General features: G+C 35.9%; 1 protein-coding gene across 38 annotated transcripts in view, besides 1 other annotated feature; it reads right to left on the reverse strand.

Annotated features, from left to right (window-relative positions):
* Nucleotides 1–20,588, reverse strand: part of PTPRD (protein tyrosine phosphatase receptor type D) — a 2,298,757-nt gene that overhangs the window by 1,675,167 nt on the left and 603,002 nt on the right. The window lies entirely within an intron of this gene.
* Nucleotides 9,374–10,573: an enhancer, noted in NCBI's record as "BRD4-independent group 4 enhancer chr9:9998786-9999985 (GRCh37/hg19 assembly coordinates)". NCBI's record gives its function as "activates an origin of replication core promoter dependent on BRD2, P300/CBP, MED14 and CDK7 cofactors, and independent of BRD4, by STARR-seq in HCT116 cells {active_cell/tissue: HCT116}" and the evidence as "EXISTENCE:reporter gene assay evidence [ECO:0000049][PMID:35650434]".

The raw sequence follows: 20,588 nt of genomic DNA on the forward strand, positions 1-20,588 counted from the left end.
AAGAGAAGAAGCAGCTGGATGTTGGAGAGAAGCAGCCTGACTTCAGAGGGATGGCTTGATGGCAGGACTTTGGAGAAGAGTTCAGCCTGGGACAGCCGAACTCCATTATCTTCCCATTCCATCCCCCTTCTAGCTCCCCTTCTTGCCGAGAGCCACTTCCTCTGCTCACTAAAATCTTCCATATTCACCACCCTCCAATTTTTTCACACGACCTCATTCCTCCTGGACACTGGAAAAGGGCACAGGTGTGGGTGCAAGAGGCTGTCGCATTGACTCTCCACTGAACTGTTTAACATTTAAGCAATCCATGGATGGCAAAGCTAAAAGAGTGCACTGTGACACACACCCGCTGGGGCTCCAGGGGTCATGGGCAATGCCTAGGCACTGCCATGGGCCCCTACGGGGTTCGTTCTTGCTGGTGCCCAAAGTTGCTTGCCCCAGCTCCTGCACCTGCTCACCTGCATGCTCCCTGCACCCTCCCCGCTACCTCCACCACGCAAAGGGTTTGAGCACTGTGGGCTGAGAAAGCAAGCCACCCCTTCACAAGTCCCGCAAAGGGGTCAAGGGGACTATCCCATCTCAACTGGGGGCTCTCCCAGGATTCATCAGATGTGTGAGTAACATGGGGATCTGTCTCTCCTTGTCCTCGGACTTTCCTCTGAGCTATGCCACTTACAGGGGAGAGGATTCAACCATCTCTCTCTTTCTATGGATGAAAGGAATGTTGGTTCAGTTTCCCTTCACAGAGGTTTAGTCATTACGTGGGACCAGGACAAGGTCCTGGGGCAACTGAAGGTGTTGGCCAAGGTCCTCAGGTTTTCCTATGGTATCTTTCCTTTCTTCTCTCATGGTTTGAAATGCCTCCTATCTCTTCTTTCATAATGTTAAGTGTTTTGCTGCAAACTACTGAAATGTAACTAAGTACAATGTACGTTTGGCCCAGCCATCAGATGTGCAGTTCAGAACAATGTGATTTCTGTTTATGGAGGTGTCATTTTCACCCCAACAGCTGCAAGTCAGTGAGGGGGCTTGGCGGCTCCCCTCCTTACCACCTCCCCTCCCGGCTTTAGCACCTGGGTGTGCCCATTCCAGGCATGACTGTGCCCAGTGGCCAAGCAGAGCGGAAGTAAGCTGTGCACACTGCCCAGGTCCTAGGGAAATCTCAGAGGCCCAGGCCCCTACACAATCAGCTGGAAATGTAGCTTCTTCTTAGAAAATAGAAAGTAGTTTAGCCCTGGGCTGGGATGACTGTGAGGGGTGAGCTGCCCACCAACTCAGCCCTGTTGCATTGATTTTCTTAAAGTTTACTCTGGCAAAATGGCATTTGCTTACATTGGGCATTATTACAAATATCTCCATTAAATTTATTATCATGTTACCCTAAATACATTAGAGAGGATGTGCTCACCACATTAGATACTGTCCACTCTATGAGGGTCCTCAAGAGAGATATATTGTCTCAGTGTCAACATAGTTTTGTAAAATCAAAATGTAAAATCTTCTAGGGAAGATGAGTAAAATAGTCTTTTTTTTTTTTTTTAAGACAGAATTTCACTTTGCTGCCCAGGCTGCAGTGCAGTGGCGTGATCTCGGCTCACAACAACCTCTGCCTCCCAGGTTCAAGCAATTCTCCGGCCTCAGCCTCCTGAGTAGCTGAGATTACAGGCACCCACCACCACACTCGGCTAATTTTGTACTTTTAGTAGAAACGGGGTTTCACCATGTTGGTCAGGCTGATCCTGAACTCCTGACCTCATGTGATCTGTCTGCTTCGGCCTCCCAAAGTGCTGGTATTACAGGCATGAGCCACCATGCCCGGCTGAGTAAAATATTCTCATAAACTTGGGGATTGGAAAAATTTCTTATACAGAACACAAATAGCACTAACTCAAACAGAGAGTGAAAAAACAAACATTAAAATTCAGAGATTCTCTTTATCAAAATATACTTTTTTTTTTCTTTTTTTGAAATGGAGTTTTGTTCTTGTTGCCCAGGCTGGAGTGCAATGTTGTGATCTCAGCTCACTGCAACCACCGCCTCCCAGGTTCAAGCAATTCTCCTGCCTCAGCCTCCCGAGTAGCTGGGATTACAGGCATGAGCCACCACACCTAGCTAATTTTGTATTTTTAGTAGAGATGGGGTTTCTCCATGTTGGTCAGGCTGGTCTCGAACTCCTGAACTCAGGTGATCCACCTGCCTTGGCCTCCCGAAGTGTTGGGACTACAGGCATGAGCCACTGTGCCCGGCCCAGCCCAAAATATACTTTTAAAACAGTGCACAGTCAAGTCATAGAGAAAGAAAAGATAGGGATGATGTATATACCAAAGGTCTCATATTCACAAGATGAATAGAACTTCCACAAGTCATTGTCAAAAACCAGACAATTCCAATAACAAATGTGCGAGGGACTTCAACAGCACCACACACACACACACACACACACACACACACACACACGAGTTCCAAATGGCCATTAACATAAAGAAAAGGTGGTATACACATTCAGTAGAGTAATAATCAGCAATAAAAAGGAGTGAAGTACTGACACAATGCTACAACATAACGAACCTCAAAAACATTACGCTAAATGAAAGGAGTCAGTCATTATATGAAATGCCCAATATAGGCAAACCCATGAGAGTTAGAAAGTAGATTCGTGATTGTCTAGACCTGGAGGCTGTGGGCGGTAGAATGGACGAGACTGCTAATGGGTAAAAGTTTCTTTCTTGGAGTGATATTCTGGAATGAGATAGTGACAATGGTTGCATGACTGTGAATATACTGAAAACCACTGAATTGTGTGTTTTCAATGATTGAACTATATGTGATTTAAATTATATCTCAATAAAGCTACTAAAAGTTAGATGGAATGAAAATAAAAAGTTATAATAATAAAAATTCGTGGTAAAGAAAAATAACGTATTCTAGCTTATCAGTCATCATTGGAAACTAGTTCAACCATTGTGGAAGCCAGTGTGGCGATTCCTCAAGGATCTAGAACTAGAAATTCCATTTGACCCAGCCATCCCATTACTGGGCATATACTCAGAGGATTATAAATCATGCTGCTATAAAGACACATGCACATGTATGTTTATAGCAGCACTATTCACAATAGCAAAGACTTGGAACCAACCCAAATGTCCATCAATGATAGACTGGGTTAAGAAAATGTGGCACATATACACCATGGAATACTGCGCAGACATAAAAAAGGATGAGTTCATGTCCTTTGTAGGGACATGGATGAAGCTGGAAACCATCATTACGAGCAAACTATGGCAAGGACAGAAAACCAAACACTGCACGTTCTCACTCATTGGTGGGAGTTGAACCATGAGAACACATGGACACAGGGTGGGGAACATCACACACTGGGGCCTGCTGGGGGATGGGGAGAGGGGGGAGGGATAGCATTAGGAGATAAACCCAATGTAAATGACGAGTTAACGGGTGCAGCACACCAACATGGCACATGTATACATATGTTACAAACCTGCACGTTGTGCACATGTACCCTAGAACTTAAAGTAAAATAATAATAAAAAAATAAAATAAAATAAAAAGAATTTCAAAGTTAAAAAAAAACAGTTAGATGCCAATGTGAACTTTCATAAATAGTTGTTGGTTAAATACATACTTTAGAAAATTTAAAAGTATCAACTAAAGCTGAAAATCCTTTCCTTCTGGTCCAGCCTTTACATTCCCATGTGTATAATCACTAGTATGAGTTGGCAAAGATGTGGAGTAACTGGAATTCTCATATTCTCCTGGTGGGAGTATAAATTGGTCTAATTACTTTAGACATCATTTGGCTATATCTACTAAATATGGACATATGCATAAACAATGGCCTAGCAATTTCATTCTTAGGTACATATATTATCCTCTCCCTCCAAAGAGCAAACGATAAACATGTACATCAAAGTGCGTACAAGAATGTTCAAGGTCGTATGTTTTTTTGTAATAGGCACAAACTGGAAACAACACAAACATTCATTAGTAGTTAAAGGGATAAGTAGTGGTGAGATGATCTTATAATAAAATATTAAGCAGCAATGAAAATAGATGTGCTACAACCATGTATAACAATATGGATAAATTCTCTAATATAAAGTTGAGGATGCCAAAGTAGGAAAAATACATTTTACTTGATTCATTTTATATATAATTTAGAAACAAAAAATTGCTCTGTGACGCTGGAAGTAAGACTAACTTTGGAGAGGAAGCAGGGGTTTGTGATTAGCAGAGGTATCAGGGGCTAATATAACAAGAGTGATATTTACTCCTTGACTGAAATACTAATTACATGCGTCTGGTCACTTTTGTGAATATTTAATGAGTTAGACATCTGTGATTTTTTGCAATTTTTCTGTTATACTTGAATTAAGAAATAAAACAGAATCTGCTTTTCTCCACCAATGAGATTTTTAAAAATCATACAGACACAGTGAATCATGTTAACTGATCATGGTGATCATGGCAAAGAAAACTTAGAGCTAGATGTATAAACCATCTTTTAGAGTACTACTACTGCTACTTGTAAATATGTATAATACGTACTAGACATGATTCTAAATCATGTGTACTCATTTAATACAACAATTTTTTGAGTGGGGGACAATTTATCCCCATTGTACAAATAAGAAAACTGAGATACAGAAAGATTAATTTAACTGCCTCAGATGATAGCTAGTAAGTAAAGTCAGAGCTTGAAACCAGGAAGTCTGGCTCTAAAGTCTTTGTCCATAACCACGGACCTAATCTGTTGCTCTAGCAGGGATTTGGGATTTTATTACACACATTTTGAGAGCTCACCCTCTTGGATGCTTCCTTTCTATATCCTTCCTTTTTCCTCATTTGTTCCATCTTTTGAAAATACTTTTATCTTATGGATATTAAATTTGTAAGATAGTTTCTTTAAAAAAGATAACATTCAGCACCAATGTACTTTATTACTTAAACTTCACTTACCTCTCTAGAATAATTTATGTTTATCTCTTCTCCCATACTGTATATTAAAATTCAGAACTGACGTCTTATCTGTTTGTTTATCTCCCTCCCTAGGATATTGTCTGGTACATCATAGATGCCCAATAAATGACTGTTTTGAACTCAGCTGTTATAACACAATCTGTTAAAGGACAAAGAACAGTGTCCTTTGTCAAAAAGAACAAAACCTAAAAGCATAAAAGAAAAAACAAACAGAAAATTACAAAAGTAAAAGAGAGAAAGTGGGGATATATATGAAATGTCGAGTTTATACTCAATAAAGACCATGTGCATCTTAAACAATCACAAAACATATTTACAATTGAACAAATGTTTAGCTAAAATATTTATCAATTGTATTACATTTTAATTTTAGAAGGCAAACAATAACTTTTTGTTTTACTAATGATGAAAACTTCTTGCTTTGTCTAAAATATTTTTAGGTGAGAGTAGTTAAGTCTCCAAATAGCATATTATATATAATGTTAATATTGGATACTGCATCCATGTTTTTAAAATAAAACTATATTCACTGTATTTTAAATTAATATTCCTTTAGTACATTTAAAATTTAAAAGCTTAAAAACAGGTACATTTACATATATAAGCAAAATGAGTTTATTAAGTTTAAGCTTATTTTTGTAAACTGAATTTAGATTTTTATGAATTAATCTAATCTCTTTACTATGTAGAAACATACAATTAAAGGGAAAAATATTATTCTGGCTACTTTTTGCCTAAGGCTATCATTCTATTTTCTAATACCAAAAGCTAAAGGCCTCCAGAAAAATTTAAAGACCATGGAGCTATTGGTTTGGCAGCATACTTCACTTTTCTTTAGGTAAAATAGGGCTTTTATAGCATTCTCTAAGGTATTCTGTCTTCCCAATATTTGCAGATGGTGAAACTAAAAAGAGAACAATCAAACAAAAACAAGGCCCCCAACAGTTGTAAAGGTAAGCTATAAATTACAAAGTTTATAGCTTTGTCATGCTAATTCATGAGGTGTACATGTCCTGTGGAGATATTAAAAATGGTCTAAGAGATAAAAGTTTATAAATCTCCCTCACGGACATATGTGCTACTTTTACTTGCCTCTTCAGATCCATTCTCCCTTTTCTCCACCCCACTCTGTATCCTGAGATTGCTGGGCAGTAGCTTGGCAGTGGCCACTTTAGTCAGATTGCCTTTTCCTAAACCTCCTGGTTCAAGGAGCTGTTTCCTCCTGTTTTGCTCTTAGGCCTTAGAAGTAACTCCCTGCTGTTTCCACGTCTGAATGATTCTCTTTTACTCTACCTACTTCCTATTACCCAATTACAGTGTATTGTGTTTCTTGTTGGGACCCTGTCAGACATGTTTATTGTTGCTATTTATTTGATACTTTTCTGCCCCCAGATTATATTCTTATATTTTTAGGTGGTAAAATGCTCTGTAAACCCACAATTCAATCCCCTATTACTCAGTTACTGTTAATTTACATTCCACTTGAACATTATCAGTGACTGGGAGCTCACTACTTCCCCTTCCCAAAACAATCCATTTATTTCTACCAGATCTTAATTGTATAAATTTCTTTTTTCTTTTATTCTACTGTACCATAATATTTTGCCATTTCATTTTTACCTACATTTCCAGCTCGAGTCTCATTTTTTCCAGATATTTCCCTTTCCTTCATTTGAAATTCATGACACATGTATTAAATCATTTAAAAATATTATCTTTCTACTGTGATTATATGTCATAGAATGTATTGCCCAGAAATAAATGAAGGACTGATATCCTTATATTGGTCTGATATCCTACTATGGTGTTAGTTCATAACTTAAGTTGGGAGTTACTCCAGTAAATGAAGAGAGTTTTCATATCTAATAATTATTAATTAAATTGATTCAAAAGCCTCTCAGAAGACAAAATAGTAATTTGTTACACAATATTACCATAGTGAATTAGGATATTAAATAAATAAGATAAGCTCTCAGTATGGGAGAGGCTGATAAAATAAAAGAAAACAAAACACTGGCAAATGAGATGTCCATAGAGAGCTCTGAGAGAATGTAAACATGCCTGGAATCAGGAAGACTTATGCCTGGGCAAGGTGGTGTGAATGCCCAGGACTGACCTGAGGGTCCCTAATCTCTTACTTCTAGCTGACCTTGAGCCTTTGTGAAAGCAGAAAGTGAAGCTGAGGAAAATATGTAAACTGCCTTGCTAAGTATTGAAGTTGTGCTGTATTAAAACACAGAGGCCTTCTGCAAAGGTTGGGAGACCTATTAATTCAAAGCATTTAAGGTAATTATTGTCTAATTATTAGCTGACCACTATAAGGTCCTCAGAAGTGATTTCAGTGGCTTCATACGGCAAGGAATACAGACTTTACAGAATTCATCCAGGAAGGTTACTAAAGAAAATAATATTAAGAAGAACAACAAGACAACCTTCAACAACAAACCCTGAGAGAAAGAAGAGCTGATTTTCAGAGTTGGCATATTTATATTAGATTAAATATCCAGTTATCAAAAACATACATTTGGAAACATTTAACAAACCAGGAAGTATGGCCTGTATACAGGAAAAAGAGCAGTCAGTAGAAACTATCTTTGAAGAAGCCCAGGCATTGAATTTACTAGACAAACACTTCAAATTAGCTATTGTAAACATAATCCAAGACCTAAAGAAAACAATGTCCAAATAATTAAGGAAAACCTAAGAATAATATCTTGCCAAATAGAGAATCTCAATAAATAGTTAGAAATTATAAAAGTGAGTCAAGTAGCTATTCTAAAATTGAAAGCAAAATAACTGAAATTAAAAAGATATTCACTAGGGAGACTTAACATTTGAAATGGCAGAAGAAAGAATCAGCAAACTTGAAGATAAGCAATTTTTTTTTTTTTTTTTGAGACAGAGTTTCACTCTTGTTGCCCAGTCTGGAGTGCAATGATGCAATCTTAGCTCACCGCAACCTCTGCCTCCTGGGTTCAAGCGATTCTCCTGCCTCAACCTCCCGAGTAGCTGGGATTACAGACAGGCATGTGCCATGATGCCCAGCTAATTTTGTATTTTTAGTAGAGATGGGGTTTTTCCAAGTTGGTCAGGCTGGTCTTGAACTCCCACCCTCAGGTGGTCTGCCCACCTCAGCCTCCCAAAGTGCTGTGATTACAGGCGTGAGCCACCGTGCCTGGCCAACATGCAATTTTAATAAAGGAATTATTAAGAAATAATTTTAGGCAGATAGAGAGAGTAAAAAGAGTTCTTGGTAAGGCTTTTTCTTTTAATAGAAACAGCTCCTGAAACGTTTTTTTCTAGCAGAAAGGCAGCTTGAAAAGCCAGGCTGGCAAGTATTGATATGCTAATGTGGGTGATTAGAAAGTAGGTGCACCCAACATGGCCAACATGGCAATTCCCACCCTCTTCTCCTTGTCACCACATATGCCAGGCATCATGGCCACCCCCAGATAGCTCCACATGTGCAGGACTACATGACAGCTATAATTTGCATATTTAAAAGGCTAGGATGGGAGGGCCAGGTTTTTCACAGGCTACATGAATGACACACCTGGTGATACCAATCGCCTGGGCCATATGCAAATCAGACACCTTCTCCTCCAGCCTCTCAATATTACCAACCACTTTTCTGCCCCACACAGAGTTTCTTTCTTGGAACACAAACCTGCACGCTGTGCACATGTACCCTAGAACTTAAAGTATAATAAAAAAAAAAAAAAATATATATATATATATAAAAGAAGAAGAAGAAGGAATGCCCAGGCAGCAAGATGAAGCCACCTCGACCCTGTCCAGCCTGTGGTGAAGACCACTGGAGACAGAACTGCCCTCGGAGGTGGAGGTCACTGGGTGGAGTCTCACAGATGGTCCAGCAGGATTGATGGGTCCCGGGGCTCAAACCGTGGGTCCAGCAGCTCAAACTGCCATTATAGCACAGGAGCCCCAGGTGATTCTGGAAATTGAAGGAAAAAAAGTAGACCTCCTTCTAAGCACTACAGCCAGTCTCTCTTTTCTCCTCTCTAATCCAGGCCTCTCCCCTTCCCATAGCATGACCTTAAGGGGCATCTCAAGAAAAACTCTAATCCAATATTTTTCTCAACCTTAGTTGACACATACTTCCCAGACATTATCATGATAGCTCTACTAGTCAAAAAAAAAAAATCCCTCCAAATTAACCCTAGGACGTAATTTAGCTGTTTACACTCAACATAATGTGGCAGGATCACTGTCCTCTAGGGGAGCTCTAAGCTAACAAATAGCCAGGAAAGCAAGAAGTACACAAGGCAAGATAAGCAGTAGTTGCTCTAAATAACGTCTCTCTCCAGGCACAAGTGCTCAATTAGCTGAGCTAATAGCTCTAACAAGACCACTTGAGATAAGCGAGGGAAAGGTAGCTAACATTTTTACTGACTCCAAGTACTCTTTCCTGATTCTCCATGCTCATGCTGCCATTTGGAAGAAAAGACATTTTCTTACCATCAATGGATCTCCAGGAAATATCACCAAGAAATTAACAGGTTATTATCCTCAGTTTTTTTTCCTTCTATAAGAAATAGCAGGGATGCATTGCAGGGGACATCGAAAGGAAACAGATGAGGTAGCCAAAGGAAATAGATTAGCTAATCAGGCAGCTAAGTCAGCAGCAAGGAAGCCTCAAGGCATTAGCACAACTAGCAAATGGCCAACCCCAGGAAATGAAACCACGTTTATTTAACCCAGGAGATCTGGTATTAGTGAAAACTCTCACTTCTGCTTTCTTCCCTACGCTCGGGCTGGGAAAGGCCCGACACTGTTCTTTTGACAGTTACAGGAATCATCTCCTGGATGCACCACACTCAAGTCAAAGCCTAAAAAGCTAAGGGAGCAACCCCTGAAAGCCCAGAGGAAAGTCCTGAATCTCAATGTGGAGAAATAGAAGACCTTAGGCTGAAAATCATGAAAGATAAGTAACTGGGGAAGGGCTGCTCATCTTACTCAGTCCCACTGCTACCTCACCAGACTTTTTATTATTTCTGCCCTTCCCTCTCAAAATTTGCCACCAAATATTAGAACTTCTTTTTAACACATATTTGCAGGGAGAATTTAATTATACATGGGATTGCATTTGTAACTTTGTAGCTTCCCAAAGAGAAATGTTGTCTTGGCAAGTAAAGTTTTAAATGGAAATTATTTACTACGTCACTCTCATGGGAATTGTTATAGTCACGCTACTATTTGCAATAGAACTATACACTATGACACCCACGATGTGGAATTCTGGTTGTAAAATTCTAATTGCTGTAATATTTTGCCTCATTATACTTAGAGCAGGATAAGTAGTTACAGGAAAGATTTCGTCAAGGTTGTTTTGCTTACAGCAGGAGTAATAGTTTTTACTATCATTAAGTTTGACGGGACTTTTTACCGAAGGTTGCTAATGTGATGCACTCTAAGCTATGAAAAGGTTATAGAGAAAGAGATTTTATATAAGGAAGGATCTTGTTTGGTAAATTCTTGTCCTAAAAGGAAATGACCGGTTGTTTAGAGAAAGAATGTTTAGGACAAGTCAGAAAGTTTAAGTCTGTTGTAAGAGGGTCTGTGAAAGTCATGAAAAAATTTAATAATTAAAGGAAAGGAATTGTCAAGATTAATGCCAAAGTTATTTAGCCACCGAATAATGTATCTCTCCCAATCATACTGCAAGTTATAAAAATTGCCTAAGCCTAAAGTTATTCTCCAATGGCAAGTCAAGGGGGAAATGTATGCTCTTCTCAAGGAAAATGTTGCTTTTATATTAATGTTTCTGGTAATGTACATAAACATCTAGTGGAGGCAAACTGGTGTTGCAATACATGGGTGTAACTAACAAGAGTCAAATTACACTGTTAGTTATAGTCTATAGGACCCCCACTAACAGTGATAATTTTAATACTCATAATCCAACCCTATATTTTTAACCTTCTTGTAAAATTTATCTCTTTTCACCTAGAAACGATCAAACTCAAAATGGTGCTGCAAACAGAGCCCCACATGGACAAGCCATTCTTCCAAGTACCCTTAAATCCACCTCAGGAGAAGACCCAACTGCTGTTCCCCGACATGACGCCCCTTTTCATCAGGAAGTAGCCAGAAATAATTGTCGTCCAACACCCACTAACAACAGTTAGGTTTACTTCTCTTGAGGGGGGAATAATACAGGAGTTATTAAGAAATAATTCTAGGCAGATATAGAGGGTAAAAGTTCTTGATAAGACTTTTTCTTTTAATAAAAACAGCTCCCGAAACATTTCTTTTCTAACAGAAAGGCGGTTTGGAAAGCCAGGCTGGCAAGTATTAACATGCTAATGCTGGTGATTAGAAACTAGGTCTAACCAACATGGCCAGCTTGGTGATTCTCACCCTTTTCTTGTCAGCACGTGTGCCAGGCATCATGGCCACCCCTAGCTATCTCCACGGGTGCAGGACATCTGGTGGCCTGCATTTGCATATTAAGAGCCTGGGGTGGGAGGGTCAGGTTTTTCTGGGCTATGTGAAATACACACCTGGTCAAACCAATCCACTGGGCCGTATGCAAATCAGACACTGCTTTCTCCAGCTTCCCAATATTACCGACCACTTTTTCGCAGCAGCACACAGGGTTTCTCTCTTGGGAACCCCGCTCCCTCTATCTCTGTAGCGGGGAGCTTTTTTTTCTTCTTTCTTGACTATTAAATTCTCCACTCCTTAAAACCACTCCACGTGTGTCTCTGTCATTTATCTAAATTGGCGTGAGACCAATGACCCTGGTGTTCCTCCAGTCACCGGATCTGTATCAATTTGACATCATCCATTCCGAAGAGCAGAAAGATAAAGAATAAAGAAAAATGAACCGAGCCCCCAAAACCTGTGGGATAAAGTATATCAGCACATATAAAATGAAACTCCTTGAAGAGGAGAGAAAAAGGGGTCCAAAAGAATATTTGAAGATATAATAGTCAAAAGTTTCCCAAATTTGGTAAGAAGACAATCTGTATATCCAAGAAGCTTAATAAATTATAAGGATAAACTGAAAGAGATCCACAAGTAGAAACATCATAGTCAAATTATCAGTAGACAAAGATAATCTTAAAAGCAGAAAGATAAGGAACTTATCACATACTTGTCACTGTCAATAAGATTAAAAGTTGACTTCTCTTCAGAAATCACTGAAGCCAGAGGCAATGGAATAACGTATTCAAAGCACTGAAGAAAAAGACTATCACATAAGAATTCTCTACCTAACAAAATTATTTTTTAAAACATAGGAGAAATAATAAAATAAATGGTTTAACACATAAAATTAATTAATGTAACTCACCATACTAATTAAGAGAAAAACTAAAGGAATTCGTCACTAGTACAGCTGCCCTATGAGAAATACTAACTGGAGAGTCCTTCAGGTTGAAATGAAAAGTCTCTAGACAGTAACTTGAGTCCACATGGAGGAATAAAGAGTACAGACAAACAAACAATATAGGGAAATATACAAGATAATGTAAATATATTTTTGTTTAAAACGCTTTTATACTCCTACCTGACTTAAGAGATAACTGCATGAATTTTATTAATGGGTTTAAAATTATAAAGATGTAATTTTTATAGCAATGTTAATACAAAAGGGAAGCTAAAGAAAGGAGCTACATTGGAGCAATGTTTCTGTAAACTATTGAAATTAAGTTGTATTAATCTGAACTAGATTGTTTTAAATTAAGCAGTTAATTGTAATCCCAAGCACAATAACTAAGAAAATAAGATTTTAAAAAATAGAATAAATAACATAGGAACCAAACTGGTATACTAAAAATGTTTATCACAAAAAAGAGCAATATTAAAGAAACATAGGAACAAAAAAAAGACACAAGACATACAAAAAAAGTAAAATGGCATGCATAAATGTTACTTTATAATTTGTCTTTAAATATAAATATATATATATATATTTATATAAAGAATTCCAATTTAAATGCTGAGGTTGGGAGAATAGATTAGTTTTTAAAAATCAACACTTAATCTACCTATATGTTGTCTAAAAAAGAAACACTAAATTCAAAGACACAAATCAGTTGAAAATAAAAGGATGATAAGATACATGTCATGAAAACTGTTACCAAAAGAAAACTAAAGTGTCTACAGCTACTATCAGACAAAATAGACTTAAACCTACAAAATTTTACTAGCACAAAAGAAGAATATTTTGTAATAATAAAATGGTCACTCTTTAAGGAAGACATAAGAACTGTAAACACATATGTACCTAATGACAGAGTCTCAAAATACTTGAAAAAAAAAACTTACAGAAACAAAGAGAGAAATAGAAAATTTAACAATATGTAGGTACTGTCATACTTCACTTTCAATAATAGATAAAATGAAAAAGTAGATGATAAAAAAAAAAGACTTCAATAACACTACGAAATAGACCTAATGAAAATCTGTAGAAGATATTTCATACACTAGCCGAATACACAATCTTCTCAAGTGCACATGGAACATTCTTCAGGATGTATCATTATTAATTATATCTTATAGTAAGCCTCAACATATTTAAAATAATTAAAAATTTAAATTTAAATGAAAGACCACCAACTAAAATGAGATAAAATTACAAATCAATTATAAGAGAAACAGTTAATAATTAATAATTACTTGGAAATAAAATAAAGGCACTATGAAAGAGGTGACATATCAAGTGTGTCTTAAAGGAAAGATAGTCTTCTGTTAGTCAAGGGACATAAGAAATGAGTTCCAGGCAGAAGGAAGAATAAAGCCAAATTATGGAATTGAAAGGATATGACACATCCACAGAATTACATGTAGTTATATGCCTAGAATACTGGATCTATGGAGATGATGAGGAATGAGGAAGTGAGATAAAGGTTAGAAAGGAAGACAAACTACTAAGATACTTAGATTTCATAAATAGATGATGCAGGACCACTGAATAATTTTTAAGCAATAAAACCATAGACTCAAAATTACATTTTAGAAGATAATTTGAAGTTGGGGGATATTAAGAAAAATGGGTTGGAGATGAATTAAGATTGAATATATATGAATCCAATTATAAGAACAATTGTGTGTTCTGAATTAGATTAAAAAGGGCCGAGATGGTATAAGAGATAGTGAAACTAAAGAAGAGAAAGTGCTATTATTAAAAGATAGAATCTCAACTTATTCCAATGATAAATCTTTTTATAAGAGATAAAGTTAATACTAAAATAACCCAATAAGATTAATATTGGGTTAATATTAATAACCCAATAAGGCTGATAAAACATATGACAACAATAAAACAATTTAATGATAATATAGCCATTTGTGAATACTATTTTAAGTACTTTATTTATAACAACTCATGTGGTCCTCACAACAGGCTTATTAAACAGGTACTATTATTTTCCCCAATTTGAATTAAATTTCAAATTCTAAATTTTTTTAATACCCTAATGGCCAAATTTTAAAAAGCCGACATACCCGATTTATTTGCTTACAGACCCTAATACAAATTATTCAAAATTAATTTTGAAATAAATATTGCCTTGCAAGATTAAGCTCTCTACAAATAAGAGGAAAAAAAGATTGGAATTGAGAAACTTCAAAGGTTATTTTATTTAACCCTGGTACACTAACAGTCTTCAAAAAATAATTTAATGGGTATTTATGGAGGAACTAATATTCATCAAATATTATACTCAGCATGTGGCTACAAAAAAGAAAAGAAATATATAGCCCCTGACATAGAAAGGTTTTAAGTTTGATGGAGAAAATGTGCCTAAATACATTAAAAAAAATTTAGGTTGTATATATTGGGTGTTGTTTTTCCAGAAGATAAAATTGTTAAGTATACCTGGAGAATAAAAGCAATCATTAGGCTATATTAAAGCCACATTTTGAATGATAAGAGGGAATTTGCCATGTGGAAACAAAGGAGAAAGTCATTTCAAAAAACTATTTATTGAGGAATTAAGCAAATTAATACATTTTATATTTAAATAATATTTGCAGAACCCCAATCCCCAAAATGTATATGTGTATGGCAGATAATTCACATCATTTTCTTTTCTTTTCACATAAAAATATGCAATCATTCATTACCCACCGGTCAAGAGAATAGGTATATAAGCAGAAAACAAAATATTTTTAAGCCACATATTATACAATAAATAATTAAATAATTTTAAGGTGCCATTTAGCTCTCTGATAAGTTTTACATTTTAACACACACACACACCGCACACACACACACAGTGTAAACATAACGTTTTTAGATAATTCTATTTTTAAAATACCAAATAGTGTCATAATTTTATAAACACCAAACTTTATAAAATCAATGGTTCCCAAGTACAACCTTTCAGTAAGCAAACTAAGTTTACAGTAGTGTATTCAATAAATAATGCAACTCAACAACTGAAAGTTGTCACACTGAGATTTAGTTCTGTTTAAAAGCAGATCAGGGTTTACTATTCACTCATTCCCTCGAAGGACTGGCTCTAGCAAATTTTTCCAAGTTGGTGTTTTCTAGCAGAGGGTCTTAAAATTAACTAACTCAAAAGTAGTCCAACTGTAAATGCTAGTTTCATGCCATGCTTAATACTAATGGAAAAACTTTACTTTTCTTAGCTTGATCATATTTCTTTGCAATGAAAAATAAATGCCTAAGTGTAAAACGTGGACACTATTTCCTATAAGATTTTTTTTTGTCTTTTATTTTTCAGCCCATTTAAAGGTCATTGTATAACCTTTGGGCGATTATAATAACTGTTACTGTCCTAGGGCAGCAGATAAGGCACAAAGCTAACCTTGGTGTTTCTAAAGCACACAACCAACAGCTTTTTAAAGTAAAAGAGACCTTAAAACATGCTACCACTCGATGATTCTGATACTAGGCTTTATTTCTGTATCATGATGGCTATTTCTTTTCGAGGCCAACAGATAAGACCAAGATTATCAAAAAGCAGTTGTAGGTTCTACTGTGCTCAGTTCCTGCGGACTGCTGCTTGGCTAAGTTGCAGCTCCCTCTCTCCTTGGCAGGAAGCCTGGACAAGTAGCAGAACATTGTCAAAATTATTATTGTTTCTGTTTTTTCTTTCTTTTTCAGATAGCTCAAAAATGGTTATCAGAAAGTCGAGAATTTAAGAGTGTGTCTTTATCTCCTTTCTTAATTCTTCCTAAAGAAATAGTAGAAATGTCTAGGGCAGAAATGCATAAGCAGATGGTTATGTGCCTTCATTAATCAAATGCAGCTTTTCCCTCACCTATCTTGTCCCTCTGGCATGACACTATAAAACCTTCTGGAAAGGTACCTCGTAATATATATTGATAAAATGAAAATATACATAGTCTTTAACCCAGTTATTGCCCTTAGAGAGACCCTCTCCTCATTTAACAATCTGAAATGCACACAAATTCATAAAGATATTTCATTATAGTATTAGATATAAAAGAACAAAATTGTACTAAAATATACAAAATTATGGTAAATGCTTAATTAAATAATCAGTCAAATGAGGAAATATTACAGGGCAATAAAATTAAAATTCTAAAATCTAAACTGAATTTCAAAAATGCTTATGACATAAGAACAAGGCAGGGCATGCAATTATAAACATATACACATATGTACATATGCAAATATATGATGGTATTATACAAAAAATGAGATGAGAATCAATAAAGAAATATTGCAGTTAATGATTTCCTATTGCTTTTCATTTTTAGATTTCAAAGTTTTTAAGAGAAGCACTAAAAATGTAAATAAGAGTAAAACCTGGAAAAATAATCATACAATTTAATCATTTTAATACATTGATGATTTACATCAGTTCCCTGCTAGTTATAGGATAACTCAACTACTTAGCATTTGATACAAGCCTTTGACAATGTGACTAGTCTGTGCAGCTCTAGTCCCATTATTACAATTTTTTCATTGATTTAATATATATAGCCACTTTGAAAATTATGCTATATGCTGATCCCACTTACTTAAAATTTATTTTTCCTTTATAGCTTTCTAATTATTTTATATTGGCAAACCGTTACTTATTCTTTATGATCTAGTCCATATATCCTCCCAATGTTAGAATAAGCTATATTTGGATCATATTCCCGTTTTACAGAATTCAGGGTATTAGCATTTCTGCAGAGTTGAGAGAATATGCATGAATATAATCAGAGTATAATTAATATTGTTTCTTCAAATAACTGAGCAGGGTGTGTCCCTATGTCAGGTATTATTTAGTTCCCTTTACATTGGACGAATAATCAGAGCCAATATTTTTACTTGATTAGGTAGGATTTCTTCTATGTTTCTTACCATTCATCCAGTATTGCTCCAGCCTATCAATGAAACACCAAAGAATGCTGGTCAAAGACTTACTACAATCTAGATATATTCTATTGACAACTTTCTTCCATTCCATTCTATCTACTGGTGTAATAACCTTATGAAAATATGGAACAAGGCTATTCTGACATTTTACATTTTGACTTTCAATAGTCAAAATTTCTTTTAAAATTATTTTCCAATAATAATAATGTTATTGCTGGTATTATCACTATTGGTATAATAGCAATAATTTTAATGTAACAAATCCCCATGATATACCAACTCTCTTGATGATAACATTATAGTCTTTGAGCTCCTCAACACCACTCTAAGGCAGAAGTGTTTGTCTCTGTTTTTAAAAAGAAAACATTAAAGATCAAAGAGTTTAACTTATTTAAGGACATAAGTCAGAATTGATATGGTCCAGGATTCAAATGTAGGTGTTTATCTCTGCACTAAACTATATAAACCTTTAGTGCACTGTCAAGCACATCATTTTGCTTCATTTTTATTACTTTTACTTTATCATGTTGGAAAAATAGATCAGAGGAAAAATAAAGGACATAAGTAGAGTTTTAAAATTCATTAAAAATGGCAATTTTATTTAACTCTATAGAAGATGATCTAATAAACAGTAAAGGGCTTTAATTCGACCAAAAGCAATACCAAGGAAGAATAAATAATTTTCTTATTATAACAGTGAGAATACGATACGAAGAGGCGTTCTGAATTACTTGTCCTTGGGGGCCAGTTAAATAAGACAGAAGGCCATCTGTTTGGATGGTTTGGGCACTAAATTGCAAAGCATTAAAGAGCTGAACCATATGATCTCACGAATGCCTTCTGGTCATATGGTTCCATTTCAACAGTGTTTATCTCTTCCACATCAAAATTGTTCTTTTGAGAGAAATATGAGAGAGGCAAAATTTTGTTCATAAGCCACCTACAACCCCATGCACATGAGGAATGTTTTGGCTAAAATGTTAAATAAAATTGTGAATAGCTTCAGCATTTAAAAAAATATATATTTAAAATACTAACTGCTTGTCCAAAATCAGAACTTGTTAGAAATAAATTATCTGTTACAATTGATGCATAACAATCAAATTTTATTTATCAGCCAATAGTTACTTTAGTAAAATTTAGGTTATTCTATTAAGATCAATGCCATGTTAAAGAAAAGTATATTTATTTTCTCATCATATTTCTATACTTAAGAACCATTATGTTCTTAGTTCTAGTTAACACTTATAAATCTTAGTAAGTTTATAAAGTAATAAACCAGCTATAATTTGAGGAAATATTCATAAGGCAAACCTGCAAATCTGGGGGAGCTGGCATTTCCAATTTGATAAAAGGTGAGAAATAACAATAAAATCTTAAGCACCTCAACCCGCTTAACAAATTCCCTGTTGGCCCAGGGAACCTCAGAGAAACCTTGAAAACTGAGTTCTCACCTGTGATGGGATGGGAGGTCACACATACCTCACTATATCCCCTCCCTCCCTGTCAGTAGACTTTCATTCCTAAAAGTTGAACCAAAACCAGCCCTCTCAAAAGATTTGCTGAATTCCCCTCCCTTTTTGTGTTTTCAACCACATTCAACCAGCATTCCTTCCTGATGAGAGACCACCAACTGTGGACCAGCTGTGTCTGACTTAAGAGTCTGAATATAGGAAGCCTGTGTGGCCTTTGTTTCACATTTTGACATATAGAGCCTAATTTTAATGCATGTAAATGTTAAGTCTCCACTCCAAAGTGAACATGGGATATATGTAACATGCATGTTTGCTTAGCATGCATATGTGTGCCCCATTTCATGCATATTCACAGCTCCTCCCATATCCTGTGAGCATATATATATACTTAGCCAATCCATTCAGCATAAATTCCTGTCTCATCCTTCCTTATTTCAAGTGTCTGCTTCTGGTTTTTGCCAGAAGCTAAGCTTCCCAGTCTGCAGGATGGACAGCCTATAGGCTGTAACCTGGTATTAGGAATAAAGCTTTCCCTATAAGTTTAAAAAGATCATGATACTTCAATTGACAAGGGTTAATTTCCAGTCAATCAGTAATTCTCTATAACAAATTCAAGAAAGACCAAAATAAAGAACCACACTTGCCTCTGGTGAAAAATCAGAAAATGGTTAAAAATGAGTAAATAAATTGACTAACAATAATATAAATAATAATTAATAATCAATATTAGTTAATGGAAAATAACAAATGATTGGATTTTATTTTTTCCCTTTTTTTCTCTGATTGCTTATTGACAAATCAAACTTGTTCTCTAATAATGAAGCATGGAAACAGGTTTTAAAGTTATTTAATGAAAAGTTACTTTGAAAAAATCAATTACCTAATGTCATAGAAAGTTAAATTAATGCAATTCTGTTGACAATAAGGAAAATCTTTTAGAGTCTTAAAGCTTTCGCCTGGCACTTGATGTATGCTATACATTTGTCAACAATAAAGAGTCAAACTCTGTGATATATTTAAAAAGGTTTATTCTGAGCCAAATCTGAGTGACCGAGGCTCAAAGTACAGTCTCAAGAGGTTCTGAAAACAAGTATCCAAGGTGGTTGGGTTACAGCTTGATTTTATACATTTTAGGGAGACAGACAGATATCAGTCAATACCTGTAGGGTGTGCACGGGTTCGGTCCAGAAAGCCAGGACAACTCAAAGCAGGGGTTTCCAGGTCATAGGTGGATTCACAGATTTTTTCATTAGCAATTGGTTGAAAGAGTTAAGTAATTATCTATACACCTAGAAGCAATAGAAAGGAGTGTCTGGTTTAAGATAAGGAGTTGTGGAGACCAAGGTTCTCATTATGTAGATGAAGTCTCATAGGTGCCTACCTTAGAGGCAACAGACTGTAAATATTTCCTGTTGAGATCTTTAAAAGGTGCTAGACTGTCAGCTAGTCTCTTCAAGATCAGAAAAAGATCTGGAAAGGGAAGGGGATTTACGGAATGAAAGTTTCTCCCGCAAAGGACAGCTTTGCAGGGCCGTTTCAAAATATGTCAAAGTATATTTTGGGATAAAACATTTTAATTTCTTTCAGGGCCTGTAAAGCTCTCGTGTAACGCTATACTAGAGTCTGCTTGGAATTTGGTATATTTTTGCTACAGTCTGTTCTGTCAGTCTTAAGACCTCTGTTTTAATGGTAATGCTGGTCAGTTGTGCCTGAATTCCAAAGGGAGGAGAGTATAATGAAGCATATCCAATTCTCCCTTCCCATCATGGCCTGAATTAGCTTTTCAG

This window comes from Homo sapiens, chromosome 9, assembly GCF_000001405.40.
Source record: "Homo sapiens chromosome 9, GRCh38.p14 Primary Assembly".
Lineage (NCBI taxonomy): Eukaryota > Metazoa > Chordata > Mammalia > Primates > Hominidae > Homo > Homo sapiens.